The sequence below is a fragment of the Homo sapiens genome, chromosome 1, assembly GCF_000001405.40.
Source record: "Homo sapiens chromosome 1, GRCh38.p14 Primary Assembly".
Taxonomy (NCBI): domain Eukaryota; kingdom Metazoa; phylum Chordata; class Mammalia; order Primates; family Hominidae; genus Homo; species Homo sapiens.
The window spans coordinates 151,376,464-151,397,555 of record NC_000001.11 but is presented as its reverse complement, the minus strand read 5'-3'; positions in this window follow the sequence as shown (position 1 = coordinate 151,397,555).

The window sequence follows — 21,092 nt, the reverse complement described above, 5'->3', positions numbered from 1 at the left end:
TAGCTGGGATTACAGGGGTGCACAACCATGCCCAGCTAATTTTTTTTTTGTTGTTGTTGTTGTATTTTTAGTAGAGATGGGGTTTCATCACACTGGCCAGGTTGGTCTCAAACTCCTGACCTCAGGTAATCCTCTCACCCCAGCCTCCCAAAGTGATGGAATTACAGGCGTGAGACACCACGACCGGCCTAATTTTTGTATTTTTTTGTAGAGACCAGGAGAGATCTCACCATGTTGCCCAGGCTAGTTTCAAACTCCTGAGCTCAAGAAATCTGCCCACCTCAGGCCGGGCGCGGTGGCTCATGCCTGTAATCCCAGGACTTTGGGAGACTTAGATGGGCGGATCACCTGAGGTCAGGAATTCAAGACCAGCATGGCCAACGTGATGAAACCCCATCTCTACAAAAAATACAAAAATTAGCCGGGTGTGGTGGCACACGCCTGTAATCCCAGGTACTTGGGAGGTTGAGGCAGGAGATTTGTTTGAACCCAGGAGACAGAGGTTGCAGTGAGCCAAGATTGCACCACTGCACTCCAGCCTGAGTGACAGAACTAACGAAACGCTGTCTCAAAAAAAGGAAAGAAAAGAAAGGAAAGAAGGAAAGGAAAGGAAGGAAGGAAAGAAAGAAAGGAAAGAGAGACAGACAGAAAGAAAAAGAAAGGAAGAAAGAAAGGAAGGGAAAGGAAAGGAAGGAAAAGGAAAGGAAGGAAGGAAGAGAAGAGAGAGAGGGAGGGAGGGAAAGGAAAGGAAGGAAAGGAAGAACGAAAGAGAGAGAAAGAAAGCTGCCCACCCAAAGTGCTGGGATTACAGGCGTGAGCCACTGCCCCTGGCCTATTCTCAGGTATTGGCTGGAACAAAGTAAATTATTTTGGCAGCCTTGAGTTTTCTCAGGCAGACACTTTAAGGCAGGAGAGGGTCACCTCAGGGATGTGACCCTGAGCTTTTAGAAGCTATGTTACCGGTGGGGTAATATAGCTATATATTTTATCTATATATAAAATAATTTTTTAAATGAGAGGATCCAGAGTCATCCCTCCTGAGAGTAGGATGTCAGAGAAAGCAAACTGCTAACTACTGATGATGCAATATTCAAAAGAACGTGAGAACCGTGAGAACAAGACATAAGACATCTTGGCCCACTGCAACCTCCACCTCCCGGGTTCAAGCAATTCTCCTGCCTCAGCCTCCTGAGTAGCTGGGATTATAGGTGCCCACCACCATGCCTGGCTAATTTTTGTATTTTTGGTAGAGATGGAGTTTCACCATGTTGGCCAAGCTGGTCTCGAACTCCTGACTTCAGGTGATCTGCCCGCCTTGGCCTCCCAAAGTGCTGGGATTACAGGCGTCAGCCAACGTGCCCGGGCCACTACTCCACTTTTTAAGAGAATGGGATTTGAACCTTCAACTCCAATACAGTTAAGGATTCTTTCTTGACCTACGCAAGGTCTGTCCCAAGGGACTAGAACAGAAAGATGAGAAAGAAAACATATCCAATGTATCCATGGCTGCACTAGTATGTGAGTCCCCCTTGAGGATCCCCTGAGGATTTTTGAAGTTTTATATCCTCTGTAATTCAATTCTATAACACCTCTCATAGCATTCGTCATAACTTGAAAGACTGCCTTACTAAGCTAAAAGTTCCATAAAGGCAGGAACTGAGTTTGTCTTGCAAAGTGTCCTTTGATGCACAAAAGCTTTTAATTTTGATGTAGTCCTATTTATTTTCTTTTCTTGTCCTGACTTTGGTGTCATTTCCAGAAATCGTTGCCAAATGCAATGTCATGAAGCTTTTCCCGTGTTCTAACAGTTCAGTTTTAGCTGTTAGTTTAAATCTTTGATTCATTTCCAATTAATTTTTGTATTGCTGTAACTTCATTCTTGTGCATGTGGATATCCAGTTTTCCCACTACTGTTTGTTGAAAAGACTCTACTTTCCCCATTGAATGGTCTTGGCTCCCTTGCCAAAACTCATTTGAGGCTGGGTGTAATGGTTCACATCTGTAATTCCAGCACATTGGGGGGCCAAGGTAGGAGGATTGCTTGGGCTCAAGAATTCAAGACCAGCCTGGGCAATCTAATGAGACCCTATATCTACAAAAACATTAAAAATTAGCCGGGTGTGGTGGCATGTGCCTGTAGTCCCAGCTACTTGGGAGGCTGAGACAGGAGGATTGCTTGAGCTCAAGAGTTCAAGGCTGCAATAAGCTATGATTGCACCACTGCATTCCAGCCTGAGCAACAGAGTGAGACCCTGTCTCAAAAAAAAAAAAAAAAAAAAGCCCAAAACTCATTTGATCATGTATGTGAATGTTTATTTCTGGGCTCTCTATTCTATTCCATTGGTCTGTATGTCTGTCTTTTTTTTTTTTTTTTTTTTGAGACGGAGTCTCGCTCTTTTGCCCAGGCTGGAGTGCAGTGGTGCGATCTCGGCTCACTGCAAGCTCTGCCTCCCGGGGTTCACGCCATTCTCCTGCCTCAGCCTCCCGAGTAGCTAGGACTACAGGCGCCCACCACCACGCCTGGCTGATTTTTTGTATTTTTTAGTAGAGACAGGGTTTCACCATGTTAGCCAGGATGGTCTTGATCTCCTGACCTCATGATCCTCCCAGTTTGGCTTCCCAAAGTGCTGGGATTATAGGCGTGAGCCACCGCGCCTGGCCAGTGTGTCTGTCTTTATGACAGTACCACACTGTTTTGATTACTGTAGCTTTGTCATAAGTTTTGAAATCAGGAAATGTGAGACCTATAACTTTGTTCTTCTTCAAGATTGTTTTGGTAAAAGTGTCTTTCTTAAACTTTTATTTTTGTAGCATTTATCCTTTGGCACAGGTTGATAGTTATTTTCTTTTGGAGCTTTAAATGTGTTATTTCATTGTCTCCTGGCTTCCATTGGTTTTTTGTTTGTTTGTTTTTCGGTTTTTGTTTTGTTTTGTTTTCTTTTTTGAGACAAAGTCTTACTCTATTGCCCAGGCTGGAGTGCAGTGGTGCAATCTCAGCTTACTGCAACCTCTACCTCCTGGGTTCAAGCGATTCTCCTGCCTCAGCCTCCCAAGTAGCTGGGTTTACAGGTATGTGCCACCACGCCCAGCTGATTTTTCAATTTTTAGTAGAGAAGGGTTTTCATAATATTGGCCAGACTGGTCTCAAACTCCTGACCTCAGGTGATCTGCCTGCCTCAACCTCCCAAAGTACTAGGACTACAGGTGTGAGCCACTGCACCCAGCAAACTTCTGTTGTTTTTGTTGAAAAGTTACCTGTTAGTCATATTGTTTCTTTGAAGGTAATGTGGCTTTTTTTCCTCTGACTTCTTTAAGATGTTTAATAGTTTTTTTTGTTTGTTTGTTTTTTGTGTTTTTTTTTTTTTTTTTTTTTTTTTTTTTTTTTTGAGATGGAGTTTTGCTCTGTTGCCCAGGCTGGAGTGCAATGACATGATCTTGGCTCAATGCAACCTCTGCCTCCCGGGTTCAAGCGATTCTCCTGCCTCTGCCTGCCCAGGTAGCTGGGATTACAGGCACACACCACTATGACCGACTAATTTTTGTATTTTTAGTAGAGATGGGGTTCATGTTGGCCAGGCTGGTGTTGAACTCCTGACCTCAGGTAATCCATCTACCTCAGCCTCCCAAAGTGCTGGGATTACAGGCATAAGCCACCATGCCTGGCCAGTGTTTAATAGCATTACTAGTATATTCTTAGGAATTGTTTTGTTTGTATCTGCCCTGCTTGGGTTTGCTGAGCTTCTTGACTCTGTGAGTTGATATCTTTCATCAGTTTGGAAAATTATCTGGCCTCAGGGGCTATAAAAGGAAGATAAGAAAGAAAACATGTCCAGTTTATCCATGGCTGCACTACTGTTTTTATCTCTTCCAATATTGCTTTTGCCCAATAATCTTTCTTCTCTCCTTTTGAGACTCCAGATGTATGTATGGTAGATATTTTAGCTTACCCCTAATCTTCCTCCTTTCTTTTTCTTTTTTATTCTTTTTTAAATCTCTGTCCTTCAGTTTGAGTATTTTCTACTGACCTGTCTTCAAGTTCACTAATCTTATGTTCTGCTGTACCCAATCTGCTATTAAACCTGTACACTGAGTTCTTAATTTCAGATTTTTTTTCAGTTTTAATATGTTCATTTGACTTTTTTTATAGATTCTATTTCTCTGTTTAAATGATCCGTATTTTCATCTATATATTCATCATTTTCTCTATTTTCCTTTACATGTTAATTGTAGTTATTTTACATTCTTGAATGCTAACTCTAATATCTGGATCATCTGTGGGTCTGCTTCCATTATCTTTTTTTTTTCTTTAATTTTGGTCACGTTTACTTTTGACTTTGCAAGTTTTACAATTTTGTATTGTTTGCCAGAAATTATGAGTAAATATAGAGGAGCCATATCATATCATCTTCTACCAAAGAGAGTTTTCCCTTTTTTCTATCAGGCAGATAGAGTAAGGATCTGATCACTTCAATTCAATCTGGGATTAGACTGTGACAGGACTGGGTTGCTGTTTCAGCCTGGTTCATCCCCCTTCTCACAACCTTTTGTTGTTGTTTTGAGATGGCCTTGCTCTGTTACCCAGACTAGAGTGCAGTGGTGCAATCATGGCTCACTGAAACCTCCATCTCCTGGGCTCAGGTGATCATCCCACCTCAGCTTCCCTAGTAGCTGGGACCACAGGTGCGTGCCACCATGCCTGGCTAATTTTTCTTTTCTTTTCTTTTTCTTTTTTTTTTTAAGAGATGGGGGTCTTACTATGTTGCCCAGGCTGGTTTTGAACTCCTAGACTCAAGCCATCCATCCACCTCAGCCTCCCAAAGTGCTGGGATTACAGATGTGAGCTACTGTGCCCGGCCTCTCACAACCTTTGATTGAAAACTGGACAGGTATTCATCCTCTCTGCCCTGAAATACGGAATGATATTGAGCTAGCTCTCCAGGCTTCTACTTCATGCAGACTCAAAATCTGGCAAATATCTTGAGGAGGAGAAGACCAGTTGAGTAATTGAGGCTCTTCTCCCTGCTCTGCCTCAGCAGATCTTCATTTTTTAATCAATAATTCCAGACCATAGGAGATTCAGTCTGCCTTTTAGGAGCTTTTAGCCTGACTCTCCAGGCTCCTGCACATTCCCAGTGTTCAGCAAATATTCCATAGGTAAAACTGGCCATAGTTAGAGGCCCCTTAAGTTTCCAACTTGCTTTGCATGGCCACCAGAAACTTTTGATGGTCTTCCCAAGGAGAGGCATTCTGTCTAGGTTAAACCCAATCCTAAGTATATACTCAACTCACCTCAGAAAAGTTCTCCCCTCTCTGAAATTTTAGTTCATCTAGTCTTCATTCCTTCCTCAGCCCTTTGGTGGCATTGCTTAAAATAAGGCCAGGCACAGTAGCTCACGCCTATAATCCCAGCACTTTGGGAGACCAAGGCTGGCAGATCACTTGATCCCAGCAGTTCAAGTTCAAGGCCAACATAATGGGACCTTATCTCTACAAAAAAAAATTTTTTTTAATTAGCCAGACCTGGTGGTGTGCACCTGCAGTCCCAGCTACTCAGGAGACTGAGGTGGGAGACTGGCGTGCACTCAGGATGCCGAGGCTGCAGTGAGCCATGATGGTGCCATTGCACTCCAGCCTGGGTGGCAGAGAGAGACTCTGTCTCAAAAATAAGGAATAAAAATAAGGCCAGGCACGGTGACTAACACCTGTAATTCCAGCACTTTGGGAGGCCGAGGCGGGCAGATCATGAGGTCAAGAGATCGAGACCATCCTGGCCAATATGGTGAAAACCCATCTCTATTAAAAATAGAAAAATTAGCTGGGCATGGTGGTGGGCGCTTGTAATCCCAGCAACTCGGGAGGCTGAGGCAGGAGAATCGCTGGAACCAGGGAGGTGGAGGTTGCAGTGGGCAGAGATCACGCCACTGCACTCCAGCCTGGCAACAGAGTGAGACTCCATCTCAAAACAAATAAACAAATAAATAAATAAATAAAAATAATAAAGTTGAAAAGAATAAACACACATTCAGAACACGTTATTCCCCTGAACCACTAGGCCTGGCCCACCCCGTTCTGAGCACCTCTCATACTGGGAAAGCTCACAACCAGGAATGCCCAGAAGATCAACAGTTTACACATTCAGTTCTGTACCCTCTGTTCCTCTGATGTTCTACCTTCAAGGGTTCACTGAACTGTGTAACTCCCAAGTTCTGGAATAGGGAGAGGAAATTTTGTGCTCAACCTCCACACCCTTCTCAGACCAGTGAACCTGTCTGATTATGGATATTCAGATTTTCCCCTAATCTGTGCTAAATCAAACAAATAAAATCAGAGACTGGCAATGAGAAGGGCAGTTCTAACATGCTTCCTGCCAAGATTATGCTCCAGAGTCATAGTCCTTTAGTCGGGGTAGATTAGAGTCAAGGTTTACACCTCTAGGCAAAGGTCACTGAGGTTTGAGGCAATGTTTAAGGCTTTGTGCAGTGGCTCATGCCTATAATCTCAGCACTTTGGGAGGCCAAGGCGGGTGGATCACCTGAGGTCATGAGTTCGAAACCAGCCTGGCCAACATGATGAAATCTCGTCTGTACTAAAAATACAAAAATTAGCCGGGTATGATGGCGGGTGCCTGTAATCCCAGCTACTTAGGAGGCTGAGGCAGGAGAATCACTTGAACCCGGGAGGTGGAGGTTGCGGTGAGCCAAGATTGTGCCATTGCACTCCGGCCTGGGGAACAAGAGTGAAACTCTGTCTCAAAAAAAAAAAAAAAAAAAAACTTGATAGCACCTAATAAAACTGAAAATTACACATGCTAAATTACCCAATAAACCTATAACATAGAGACACTCACATGTACACGTTAGGAAACATTCAAGAATGTTCATCAGAGCATTGTTCGTAATAGCAAAAAAATAGAAACAGTCTAAATGCTCATCAAGGGGGAGTAGATAAAATGCAGTATATTATTACAAAAGAATACTACAAGGTAGCTTAAAGGAAAGAACCTAACATATCAAACACATTGTTGAGTGAACCAGATAAACCACAGAATGACATATATGATATGGTACCATCTGCGCTAATTTAAACACACAAAACAACACTAAGAATGTGGGCAGGCGAGGGTGGGGGATGCGCGCGCATGTGTGTAAAATTGAGTCATAGTGGCAGTTGAAAATGAGTTTTATATAGTCTTACTTATAATGACACTCTGGGAAAAAAGTAAGGAACTTCTGAAACATTTTCCAGCAATAAAAAATAAATGAAAGCGGCCGGGCGTGGTGGCTCATGCTTGTAATCCCGGCACTTTGGGAGGCCAAGGCGGGCGGATCACGAGGTCAGGAGATCGAGACCATCCTGGCTAACACGGTGAAACCCCGTCTCTACTAAAAATACAAAAAATTAGTCGGCGTGGTGGCGGGCGCCTGTAATCCCAGCTACTCGGGAGGCTGGGGCAGGAGAATGGCGAGAACACGGGAGGCGGAGCTTGCAGTGAGCCGAGATCACGCCACTGCACTCCAGCCTGGGCGACAGAGCGAGACTCCGTCTCAAAATAAATAAATAAAAATAAATGAAATCTGCCAATTATAATGGAATTAAAGCAGGAAGTAGGCTTTCCTGGGGAAAGGGGAGGAAGGGAGTAACTTGGTCCCTGGAAAGGGAAATGGTGGGTTGAGAGAGGTTATAATACGATTTTAGATTTCAGCATTACTATAAAATTTTTTTTTGACAGATGAGTTCTCACTATGTTGCCCAAGCTGGAGAGCAGTGGCTATTCACAGGCAAGATCCTTATGCCACTACAAATGGCTTTGAGACTTTGAGAGAGACTCTGTTTGTTTGGAAGAAAATACAAGAAGAGAATAGGAATTTCTACCTGGTAATCCAGAGAATTATTTTGGCTCTTATTCAGGACCACCAAGGTGGTACTCTATGAGGCTGCAGGGACCACAGCATTACTGAGCTTGGGGTGCCGCCTAATGCAGAGACAGCTTAGATGACAACACCTAAGTCCCTTCAAATACCTGGAAAGCCTTCCCAAGAAGGACAGGTACGGCCGAGCGCGGTGGCTCACGCCTGTAATCCCAGCACTTTGGGAGGCTGAGGCGGACAGATCACGATGTCAGGAGTTCAAGACCACCCTGGCCAACATAGTGAAACCCCGTCTCTACTAAAAATAAAAAAATAAAAAAATTAGCCAGGCGTGGTGGCGGGCGCCTGTAGTCCCAGCTACTTGGGAGCCTGAGGCAGGAGAATCGTTTGAACCCAGAAGGTGGAGGTTGCAGTGAGCCGAGATTGCACCACTGCACTCCAGCCTGGGCTACCCAGCGAGACTTTGTCTCAAAAAATAAAATAAAATAAAATAATAATAATAATAATAATAATAATAATAATAATAATAAGGCTGGGCGTGGTGGCTCATGCCTGTAATTCCAGTATTTTGGTAGGCCGAGGTGGGCAGATCACCTGAGGTCAGGAGTTTGAGACCAGCCTGGCCAACATGGTGAAACTCCGTCTCTACTAAAAATACAAAAATTAGCCGGGCGTGGTGGCAGGTGCTTGTAATCCCAGCTACTTGGTAGGCTGAGGCAGGAGAATCGCTTGAACCTGGGAGGCAGAAGTTGCAGTGAGCCGAGATAGCGCCATTGCACTCCAGCCTGGGCAACAAGAGCAAAACTCTCCCAAATAAATAAATATACAAAGTAAAAATTACCCAACTTCACTCTTTTCCCAAGTAACCTTCATTTTTATCTTGTGTCTTTCTAGACTGTTTTTATCCACATGCAAACAGAATTATTTTTTGGAATGGAATCGTGTTATATACAGTTTGGCAGCCTGCTTTTTGCTCTCAAATGTCTTGGCCCTCCTCCCCTGTATAGTCTACTTAACTTGTTGTAATTGCTTCACAATATTCCACAGCACAGATATATTATGAACTATTTAACCATTTTTTTTCTTTTTGAGACAGGGTCTCACTCTGTCACCCAGGCTGGAGTGTAGTGGTGCAATCCATGGCTCACTGCAGCCTCAACCTCCCGGGCTGAAGTGATCCTCCTGCCTCAGCCTACTGAGTAGCTGGGACCACAGGCTCGCATCACCATGCCTGGCTAATTTTTATTTATTTTATTTTATTTATTTATTTATTTATTTTTGAGATGGAGTTTCGCTCTTGTTGCTCAGGCCGGAATGCAATAGCGCGATCTCAGCTCATTGCAACCTTCGCCTCCCAGGTTCAAGCAATTCTCCTGCCTCAGCCTCCTGAGTAGCTGGGATTACAGGCATGCGCCACCACGCCCAGCTAATTTTGTATTTTTTAGTAGAGACGGGGTTTCTCCATGTTGGTCAGGCTGGTCTCAAACTCCTGATTCAGGTGATCCGCCCACCTCGGCCTCCCAAAGTGCTGGGATTACAGGTGTGAGCCACTGCACCTGGCCTATTTTATTTTATTTTTGAGACAGGGTCTGGCTCTGTTGGCCATGCTGCAGTGCAGTGGTGGGTCACGGCTCACTGCAGTCTCCGCCTCCCAGAGGTTCAAGCCATCCTCCCACTTCAGCCTCCCCAGTTCCTGGGACTACAGGCGCCCACCAGCCAGCTAATTTTTATATCTTTTGCAGACATGGAGTCTCACCATTTTTCTCAGGCTGGTCTCAAATTCCTGAGCTCAGGCAATCCGCCTCCCTCGACCTCCGAAGTGCTTTTTTTTTTTTTTTTTTTGAGACAGAGTTTTGCTGTGTCACCCAGGCTGGTGTGCAGTGGTGTGATCACAGTTCACTGCAGCCTCAATCTCCTGGGCTCAAGCAATCCTCCTTGCCCCAGCCTCCCAAGTAGCTGGGAGTACAGGTGTGCCACCATGCCAGACTAATTATTATTATTTTTTTTTAGTAGAGACAAGGTCTTGTTATGTTGCCCATGCTGGTCTCCAACTCCTAGGCTAAAGCGATCCTCCTGCCTTGGATTCCCAAAATGTTGGGATTACAGGTGTGAGCCACTGGATCTGGCCTAACCATTCTCTTATTAATGAAAAGTCTTCTGTTTCCACTATTACAAATAATGCTGCAATGACAGTTATTTTTGTATATTTATGCACCTAAGTAGTTCTATAAAATAGAATCCTACAAGAGTTGTATTTTCAGTCAAAAAGTATGACATCTCATATTTTAAAAGTTACTAACAGCATTGCCCTCAAACAAGGGCACTTCAATGCATATGCCATTAATAATGCATGAGGGCCCTTCTCTCTCACCTTTCCAACATGAGATACTATCAGCCTTTCTAACTTGTGCCCAACTAATAGGGCAGAAAAATTGTCTTGGTCTAAACTGGCTTGTTAATCTTGATTGTGCCTTCCCAATTCCATTTTTTGTGGTATCACAATGTTAGCTTGAAAACAGCTGTAGTGGGAGTATTTACACCACAGAAACTGGCAAATGCTACAAATTAAACACACACACATACAAACACACACAACACAGTAAGGAAGGAAATATAGGTAGAAATTCCTGTTCTCGGCTGGGTGCGGTGGGCCATGCCTGTAATCCCACCACTTTGGGAGGCCAACGCGGGTGGATCACCTGAGCTCAGGAGTTTGAGACCAGCCTGGCCAACATGGTGAAACCCCGTCTCTACCAAAAATACAAAAAAATTAAATGGGTGTGGTGGCAGGCACTTGTAATCCCAGCTACTTGGGAGGTTGAGCCAGGAGAATTGCTTGAACCCCGGGGTGGAGGTTGCAGTGAGCCCAGATCACACCCAGGCTGAGATCAGCCTGGGTGACAGAGCGAGACTCTGTCTCGAGAGGAAAAAATAAATAAATAAATAAATTACTGTTCTCATGTTTTAAATTAAACTTTGTATTTTGAGATAATTGTAGGTTCCCATGAAGTTGTAAGAAATAACAGAAAGATTGCCCTTTACACAGTTTCTCTCAATTGATAACATCTTGCAAAACTATAGTACATTATCACAACCAGGATATTGACATTGACACAGTCAAGATATAGAACATTTCCATCACTGCAAGGATCTCTTTTACAGCCACATGCACTTCCTTCCCAACCCCACACCCCCTTAACTCCTGTCAACCACTGTCTGTTCTCCATCTTTATAATGTTATCATTTCAAAAATGTCCTATAGCAATGGTCCCCAATCTTTTTGGCACCAGTGATGGGTTTCATGGAAGACAATTTTTTCACAGATGCGGGGGATGGGGTGTGGTTTTGGGATGAAATTGTTCCACCTCAGATCATCAGGCATTAGATTCTCATAAGGAGTGTACAACAAAGATCCCTCTCATGCACAGTTCACAATAGGGTTTGAGCTCCTATGAGAATCTCATGTGGCTGCTGATCTGACAGGAGGCAGAGCTCAGGCTGTAAAGCTTGCCTGGGGCTCACCTCCTGCTGTGCAGTCTGGTTCCTAATAGGCCACAGCCAGTAGTAGTCTGCATCCCAAGGGTTAGGGACCCCTGTTCTATAGGCTGGGCGTGGTGGCTCATGTAAGTCATCCCAGCACTTTGGGAGGCTGAAGTAGGAGGATCACTTGAGCCCAGGAGTTTGAGACCAGCTTGGGCAACATGGCGAAACCCCAACTCTACAAAAAAAAATTTTTTTTTTGAGACGAAGTCTCACTCTGTCACTCAGGCTGGAGTGCAGTGGAGTGATCTCTGCTCACTGCAACCTCCAAATCCTGGGTTCAAGCTATTCTCCTGCCTCAGCCTCCTGAGTAGCTGGGATTACAGGCATGCACCACCATGCCTGGATAATTTTTGTATTTTTAGTAGAGATGGGGTTTCGCCATGTTGGCCAGGCTGGTCTCGAACTCCTGACCTTATGTTATTTGCCACCCCAGGCTCCCAAAGTGCTGGGATTACACGCGTGAGCCACTGTGTCCAGCCACCATCTCTACAAAAAAAAATTTAAAAACATTAGCTGGGTGTGGCGGCACTCACCTGTGGTCCCAGCTACTTGGAAGGCTGAGGCAGGAAGATCCCTTGAGCCCTGGAGGTTGAAGCTGCAGTGAGCCATGATCACGCCACTGCACTCCAGCCTGGACAACAGAGGAAGACTGTCTCAAAAAAAAAAAAAAGTTCTTTAGAAGGAATCATACAGTATGAAACCTCTTGATTAGCTTTCTTCACTCAGCATGATTCTCTGAAGATTCAGCCAGGTCACTGCATGTATCAATCATTCATTCGCTCTTATTGGAGAGTAATACACCATGGCCTGGACTTACTAGTTCATTTAATCATTCACACATTGAAGGGTATCTGGGGTTTTTCTTTCCAGTTTTTAGCTATTACAAATAAAACTGGCATAAACATTTCTGTACAGGGTTTTGTGTGTCATAGTCTCATTTTCCCAACTGATCCTGAGGCTGTAGCTAGTATTTATGACTTGGTTCCCTTTTACTTCTCATTCCTTTGACTTAATAATAGGTAACATTTATAGAGTGCTTATTACATGCCAGAACATGTTCTAAGTGCTTTACAAGTATTAACTCATTTAATTCTCAAAATTACCATTTGAGATATTAATTATTATCATCTCGATTTTATAGATGTGCAAACTAACGTAAGGAAAGGCACACAGCCAGCAGTGTTAGCACACAGATTCGAACCCCAGCCAGTCTGGTACCAGAGCTCAGCCTCTTAACCACTATGTTAGTACAGCCAGGACTGAAGATGGTTGGGGTTCTTTCCTCGTAGAGTGACCTAAGCCTTTGCTGCTAGAGGACCTGAAGTCTTGGTTATCTCATGCTTTCATCTTCTGTTAACCTTAACTATTGGACATGGTGGTACAAGATATTCCTGTGGGCTGCTGAGGGTTCCTCCCATCCTCCTCCCTGGCCCTGCTGTGTAACAGCAACTCTTTTTCCTGTAAATCATCAAGATGTCAGGATTGATCACCACAGCTCACATCTTCTCCTTTTCTGCCTGTTCACTCGATGGCATAAGGAGCCCAGAAGAGCAAGGTAGCTGTCTCAGCTTCCAGTTCAATGCTTATTTTTGTGGAAGCTAATCTCTGTGGGGCATCAAACCTCCCACCTAGCAGAGCTCAGCATCATGGGACTGCACGTGAAAATGTTGTGAATGGGTCATCAGGTGCAATAGCGAGAGGCCCTACTTCCACTTCTACCTCTCTGATCCTGGGCCCATCATGAATTCCAGCTGAGACAGAAACGCTGCTGCAGAATGGTTGCAGGTTCAGGGCATAAACTGCATTCTGTGGCCAGCACTCCAACCTCAGAAGGTTTTGCCATAACTGAGTCTTCCCTAAGGCCAGCTGCTTCTGAGGGATGAGGTACATGGTAAGATCCATGACTCCCATGGGTTCACAGCATGGACTCTGAGCCATAGTGTCTGGGTTCAAATACGGACCTCACTACTCACAGTTGACTTCAGGCAATTTATGAAACCTCTCTGTGACTTAGTTTCCTTATCTGTAAAATGGAGCTAATAATAGTGCCTAGATCTATGTGTTTGCTGTGAAGATGGGTTAACACTTGCAGGACTCGTCACACGCTGGGTATCATTACCCGTCTTTCACTGTACAGTGAGACCCTTTGTCAGAAGTGGTAACTCAGTGTGGGGCACTGTGATAGTGTATGAGACATCCAGGATGTCTATAGATGGTGGTGGTGGCAGTATCGGGTCAGAGAACGCAAATCCAAACCTAGAAATATGAAACTGCCTTCTAAAGAGAATGCGTTTCTGCTCCCTCCATGTTGGCAGACAGTAGTGGAAACAACCCTTCCCCAGGTGGTGGACTGTTGTGGTAGCTTCTGTGTCTTCAGCAGTGGCTCCAACTGGGCCTGACTCAGAAAGAGGAGGTCCATGCTGGCAAGGCCATGTGCAGCCTCTGCTCTAGCCACCACAACCTCTTTGTTCATGGAATATCAGTGAGAAAACAATGACATCCACAGAACAGGTTCGCCTCACCCTCCATCGTCACGAGCATCCTCCAGGGAGAGGGCCTGCTGGTTGAATGGCTACACTAGACACAAATATTCTTGCATTCTGGGCTCTTTCTGTGAGGTCCATTCACAGGCCTTCTTCCCAAACCCCCTTTCACCAGCCCTTTGATTTTGTTCTATCCAAGTCTGTCCACCCAGCAAAGCATGGGCCCTGCTCATGAGTCAGGGCAGACCCTCAGGCTGCGTCTCCTCCAAGGCAACGTGTCCAATGCAATGACAGTAACTTCGAAGGCCGTCTTTCAAAACAGCTTTATTATTATTTTTTTAATAAAGAGGCATTTCTAATTATCTGCAATTTAATAAAAAGACCACTCATTTTCTTTCCTTTCTTCTTCCAGAGACAGGGTCTTGCTCTGTCACCCAGGCTGACATGCAGTGGCGCCATCAGCTCACTGTAACCTCAAACTCCTGAGCTCAAGGAATCCCATGCACCAGCCTCCCAAATAGCTAGGACTACAGGTGTGCCCCACCATGCTGGCTAATTTTTTTTTTTTTTTTTTTTTAGAGATGCAGTCTCTCTATGTTGCCTAGGCTGGTCTCAAACTCCTGACCTCAACTGACCCCCTGCCTTGGCATCCCAAAGCACTGGGATTACAGGAGTCAGCCACCACACCCAGCCTGAAAGTGAAAATCACAATTAGAAAATTCTATGTTTAAAAACTTACATTTTCAGCCGGGCACAGTGGCTCATGCCTATAATCCCAGCACTTTAGGAGGCCGAGGCGGGTGGATCACCTGAGGTCAGGAGTCCAAGACCAGCCTGGCCAACATGGTGAAACCCCACCTTTACTAAAAATACAAAAAATTAGCCAGGTGTTGTGGCACGAGCCTGTAATCCCAGCTACTTGGGAGGCTGATGCAGGAGAATCGCTTGAACCTGGGAGGCGGAAGTTGCAGTGAGCCAAGATCACGCCACTGCACCCCAGCCTGGGCAACAAGAGCGAAACTCAAAAAACAAAACAAAAAAACACAAAACATTAAATTTACCATCTTAACCATTTTTAAACGTATAGCTCAGTAGTGTTAAGTATTTCACACTGTTGTTCAACAGCTCTCTAGAACTTTCTCAGAAGGGCTGTATTGCTGCAACAACAACAACACAGCGTATGTTAGGTTCTGGGTGCTTTTCGAAGAGCTTTATGTATATCATCATGCAATTTTCAAAACACCCTATGAGGGGAATAGATATTTTATTTTCTCTCTTTTAGAGATGAGGAAACCGAGGTACAGAGAGGTTAAATTACTTGCCCAGATTCATAAAGCTAGTAACTGGTGGAAGTGGAATTCACACACACAGTCTGGTTCTAAAATTCTTGTTGTTAATCTCTTAATAATAGACCACTTCTGGCTGATGATGGTGTATAGTGGAGAGCCAGCCACCTGTAACCCAGCCTAGAATGTTTTTCTTCTCTGTAGTCTTCATGTATAACTTCTAAAGCTCTTAGGGTGGACTGAGGGGAGAGGGTATTGGCAAGACAGGGCTAGCCAGGCGACTCCGCAGCTTCTCTCTGCTGTTGGCAGCTTCACTCTCAGGGTTCCTTTCGGGCTCAACCCAGTTCTACTTAAGGATGATGAGCTCCTGGGCTTGGTTCCTGGGCTAGCTAGGTGGATCAGATAATCCCCAGTTCATAAGGAGGCTTGAGTCAAAGGCCACCTGGTGTCCCATCCTCTCATGTTTGGTTTCTCTTGGGACCCAGAAGCTCAGAAGAGGCTGTTTTTCAAGAGAACTGTTCTTTGCTGAAGTGGGCTGGGCTCAATCATTTGGGGTCACCCTGGGGACTCTCCTTCTGCCTCTTGCCTGCCTCATCCCATGGATCACCCCAACTCACCAAGCATCACTGGATCTGCTCGATCATAAGGCCCCAGTGGCAGAAGTGGTTGCAGCCAGAGAGCCCTTTCTTGTCCTAGATCCCAATCAAAGGACACTGCCTCTACCCCTCAAGTTCTATGTGCTGCCATGGCACCACCAGCTGCGCTGGACCCTGGGAGGTTCTGCAGCATGGTGACCCACCCGCACACCAGCCTTCCCTGCAGCAACCAGAACCCACTCCCTACTTCCTTGTGTTGGAGTCTCCGGTGGGCACACCTGGCTGCGTCCAAGACCAAGTCACATGCTTGCTCCTAGCAGCAAGGAGGCCTAAGGCCTGGGACGGTGAGTATCTGGCCTTTTGCCTCCCACCCAATATAGAAAGGGCTGAATGTGCTGGCCAGCCATCCAAGCAACAAAACACAAAAGCATTCTGTCTGAAGGGGCTGCGAACTTATGTGCATAGAGGTCCCAGGCCAGAGCCTGAAGCTACTGCCTGGCTTCAGATCCTGGGCTCTGCTACTCACTAGCTGTGTAACTTTGTATGAGTTGCTTCCTCTTTCTATGCTGTAACTTCTTTATCTGTAAATTGGACATAATGAAAATACCCACTTCATAGGGATGTTGTAAACCCTGTATAAGTAAAGGCAGAACATGCAAATAGCTCAGAGAAGTACTTGGCACATGGAAAGCTTTTATATGAGGTGGATGTGGTTCATTTCTCTTTCTTTATCCCTAAGTACTTCGAACAGTACCATGTATTTAATAAATGATAGCTGTTGTTATTTTATTATTACAGTTTGGGTATCCCTTATCCAAACTGCTTGGGACCAGAAGTGTTCCAGATTTCAGATTTTTTTCAGATTTTGGAATACATATATATATATTAAAATATCTTGGGGATGGGACCCAAGTCTAAACGCAAATTTATTTGTGTTTCATAAACACCTTATACACATAGCCTGAAGGTAACTTTATACAATATTTTAAATAATTTGTACATGAAACAAAGTCTTGACTGTGACCCAACACGTGAGGTCAGGCACGCAATTTGCTACCTGTGGTGTCACACTGGTGCTCAAAACATTTCAGATTTTGGAGCATTTTGGATTTCAGATTTTCAGATTAAGGATGCTCAACCTGTACCTATATCTTTTTTCTTTTTTTTTTTTTTTTTTAGACAGAGTCTCCCTCTGTCGCCCCAGGCTGCAATGCAGTGGTGCAATTTTGGCTCGCTGCAACCTCCACCTCCCAGGTTCAAGTGATTCTCCTGCCTCAGCCTCCCAAGTAGCTGGGATTGCAGGTGTGTGCCACCACGCCAGGCTAATTCTTATACTTTTAGTAGAGACAGGGTTTTGCCATGTTGGCCAGGCTGGTCTCGAACTCTTGACCTCAGGGGATCCACCTGCCTCAGCCTCCCAAAGTGCTGGGATTACAGGCGTGAGCCACCGCCTCAACCTGTACCTGTTTCTTGCCTACTTGTGCAGGTATTTCCATGGGATTGCATCCTTGAAGTGAAATTCCTAGGTAAAACAGTATGCACAGTTTAACTTTTGTGAGGTATTGACAAATTGTTTTTGTTAGTAAGGCACCAATTGACACTCTCATTAGTCCTAAATGAGTGGTCCCTTTGCCGCATAGTCTCACCAATACAAGATTTTAACCTTTAAATTTTTTGCCCATCTTATAGGCAAAAATGTTACTGTATTCTTTCACTGTTTCAATTGTTTACACATGTATTTCAAACTTAATATAAAATTTTAAAAATATGATTGATACATAATGTGAAAAATAAAAATTGCTCCCTGTAATCCAATTCTTGAGGTAACCACTGTTAGCTACATTTGGCATGATAAGGGAAGCTTTATCTCTACAAATCCTTTTCTTTAGGTTTTTTTTTTTTTTTTTAAGCGGAGTCTTGCTCTGTCGCCCAGGGTGGAGTGCAGTGGCACGATCTCAGCTCACTGCAACCTCCACCTCCCGGGTTCATGCCATTCTCCTGCCTCAGATTCCCAAGTAGCTGGGACTACAGGCGCCTGCCACCATGCCCGGCTAATTTTTTTTTTTTTTTTTTTTTTTGTATTTTTAGTAGAGATGGGGTTTCGCTGTGTTAGCCAGGATGGTCTCGATCTCCTGACCTCGTGATCCGCCCGCCTCGGCCTCCCCAAGTCCTGGAATTACAGGAGTGAGCCACCACGCCCGGCCTACTTTTTTTTTTTTTTGAGACAGCGTCTCACTCTGCCACCCAGACCAGAGTGCAGTGGTGCAATCACAGCTCACTGCAGCCTCGACCTCCAGGGCTTAAACAATCTTCCCACCTCAGCACACCTTCCCCACCCCCGAAGTAGCTAGGACTACAGGAGCCTGCCAGGCCTAAATTGTTTTAATTTTTTGTAGAGACGGTGTCTCATTATGTTGCCCAGGCTGGTCACAAACCCCTGGGCTCAAGCAATCTGCCTGCCTCAGCCTCCCAAAATACTGACATCAATCATAAGCCAAATCCTTTTCTATGAACGTATAGATGGATGAATAAATAAATAAATATAAATTTAACTAGTTAAAACTATATAGCTTAATTTTTATGTAGTTTTAATTAAAATGAGGCTGGGCACAGTGGCTCACACCTGTAATCCCAGTACTTTGAGAGGCTGAGGCAGGCAGATCAAGACCAGCCTGGCCAACATGGCGAAACCCCATCTCTACTAAAAATACAAAAAAATTAGCCTGGCTTGGTGGTACATGCCTGTAATCTCAGCTACTTGGGAGGCTGAGGCAGAAGAATTGTTTGAACCCGGGAGGCGGAGGTTGTAGTGAGCCAGGATGGCACCACTGCACTCCAGCCTGGGTGACAGAGCGAGACTCTTGTCTCAAAAAATAAAAAATAAAATGAAATGAGATTATACTTTCTGGTTTCCCCCACCCCTCCACCGTATTTATTGATATCCTTCTGTGTTGGTATATAGAAAACTACACATTAAGGTGCTTGGTGTTTCATACTATGGATGTTCCATAATATATTTCACCATTCTGCTATTGGTTGTTTCCAACCTTTCACTATTAAGAACATTGTTGCAATGAACATCCTATATTTATATATTTATATACTTATTGATTTCCATAAGGTAGATCACTAGAAGTGGATTTCCATTTAAAATGTTGCTAGATGTTGCTAAATTTCCTTCTAAAAATGTTCCACCATTTTATAGTCTTGCCAGTAGAATACAGGAGTGGTCCTTTTCCCCACACTCCTTCTGATCCTGAATATTATCAATCTTTTTATTTTTGAAAATCATATCTTTTTGTTGCTTTAACCAGCATTTCTCTAATGGCTAATGAGACCAGGTATGTTTTCTTATGGTTATTAGCCATTTATATTGTATTTTCATATCCTTGGAATGTTTTTCTTTGTGTAATTTATCTTTTTCCAATTGATTTGTTAAAGATTACTGTATATTGGGAACAGCTATTATTTTCAGTTTAAGCCTTTTTAAACTTTGGTTTCTGAGCACCTTTTGAAAAGGTGAGAAAGGAAATCTGGGGCTCCCATATCCCACATAGCACTTTTAGCATTCCTGCACATGGACGTGACCCTGAGGAGATTGTAAAGGAAACCAGCCGGGTGGATATGATGCAAAAGAGACAGCAGATCCAGGATGGGCAGTGAAGCCCCTGCCCGGGCCTCCTCCCAATTCCATGTAGACCTGAGGCCATGTCTCCCAAAGTCTCTGGCCTCCTGTCCTTCTGGGACACTGGGAGAAGGATCCCCTAACTTCTTCTCAGGCAGCATTCAGGTGCTGAGGTGAGAAAGTGGAGGCCTGGGCTCCGCAAAGAAGGGGATTTGTTTCTGCCCGTCCTGAGCCTTAGTAGAGAAACTGTGACTCAGGGATATGACCCCAGGGACCAAAGATTCTTCCTGCCCCCAAATGGAAGGGCTTTTATTTTCCTTTGGAAATTTTATTTCAAGTATTGTAACATGTTCAAAATAGAAGCTTTATTAGGGGTTTGATGGCTTAATTTGGGCCATTAACCAAGACTGATGTAATTCTTTCTTCTCAGGACTCTTAAATGAATGGGTGCTAGCCAAGTGGGCCTCGTAAAGGTGGAGATTATTGCATGAAAGCCATTTTATGGCTCTTGTCTCAGTTCTTCTGGAGCCAGGCTTGGCACAGGAGAAAGGCTGGAGAGAGGGTGTTGGTGATGGCAAGCGTCACCTGTGTCCTTGTAACCAAAGTTGCTGCTACCTCTTCCAGTCTGCATAATTGGTTTTCAAACCCACCTCATCTTTTCTTCTTGTGCATTAAATGTGTAACAAGATACATAATTTCTGTTCTAGTCAGACCCTTCTTTTTCCTTTCCTTTCCTTTTTTTTTTTTTAGGAGATGAGAGTCTTGCTATGTTGTCCTGTCTGGACTCAAACTCCTGGGCTTGAGTGATCCTCCCACCTCAGCCTCCTGAATAGCTGGGACCACAGGTAATTTTTTTTTCATAGAGACGGGGTCTCCCTATGTTGCTCAGGCTGGTCTTGAACTCCCTGGCTCAAGCAATCCTCTTGCCTCAGCCTTTCAAAGTGCTGGGATTACAGGAGTGAGCCACCATACCCAATTCAGAATTCCTATTTTAAAGAGATATATTCTGAAACATTAAAGCAATGTTTCAAAAAAATTCAGGGTGGAGGGAGGCTACAGGCTAGGAGGCATAACTGAAACAAAATGGCTTATAATTTTTTTTTTTTTTTTTTTAGATGGAGCCTCCTCTGTCGCCCAGGCTGGAGTGCAGTGGCATGATCACAGCTTGCTGCAGCTTCCACCTCCCAGGCTCAAGTGATCCTCCTCCTTAGCCTCCCGAGTAGCTGGGACTGCAGGTGCACACCACCACACCTGGCTCATTTTTGTAATTTTTGTAGAGAAAGTGTTTCACTATGTTGCCCAGGCTGGTCTTGAACTCCTGAGCTCAAGGGATCCACCTGCCTCAGCCTCCCAAAGTGCTAGAATTACAAGTGTGAGCCACCTCACTGTTTATTCTTCCTTCTCTTTAAGCAATAGAGGTAAGGAGTCAAGACGATAACATTTGCTTTTTAAACACCTTCTGTCCCCAACCTTAGCATCTCCCTGGATATGATAGGCCCCCAGCCACTCTTCAGTGCTGCCCACTGGGACACAGGCTTCTGATAAAACTGAGTGGCGCTGCAGTACTAGGAGCTTAAAGGGTTACCACTCCAGAGACATTCACTGTAGCCAGGAGGTGAGAAGAGGCCATCTGGTAGTAACACAAAGAAATAAACTGCTATTGGTGAAGTTTCAAGCATCAATGGCAGGCC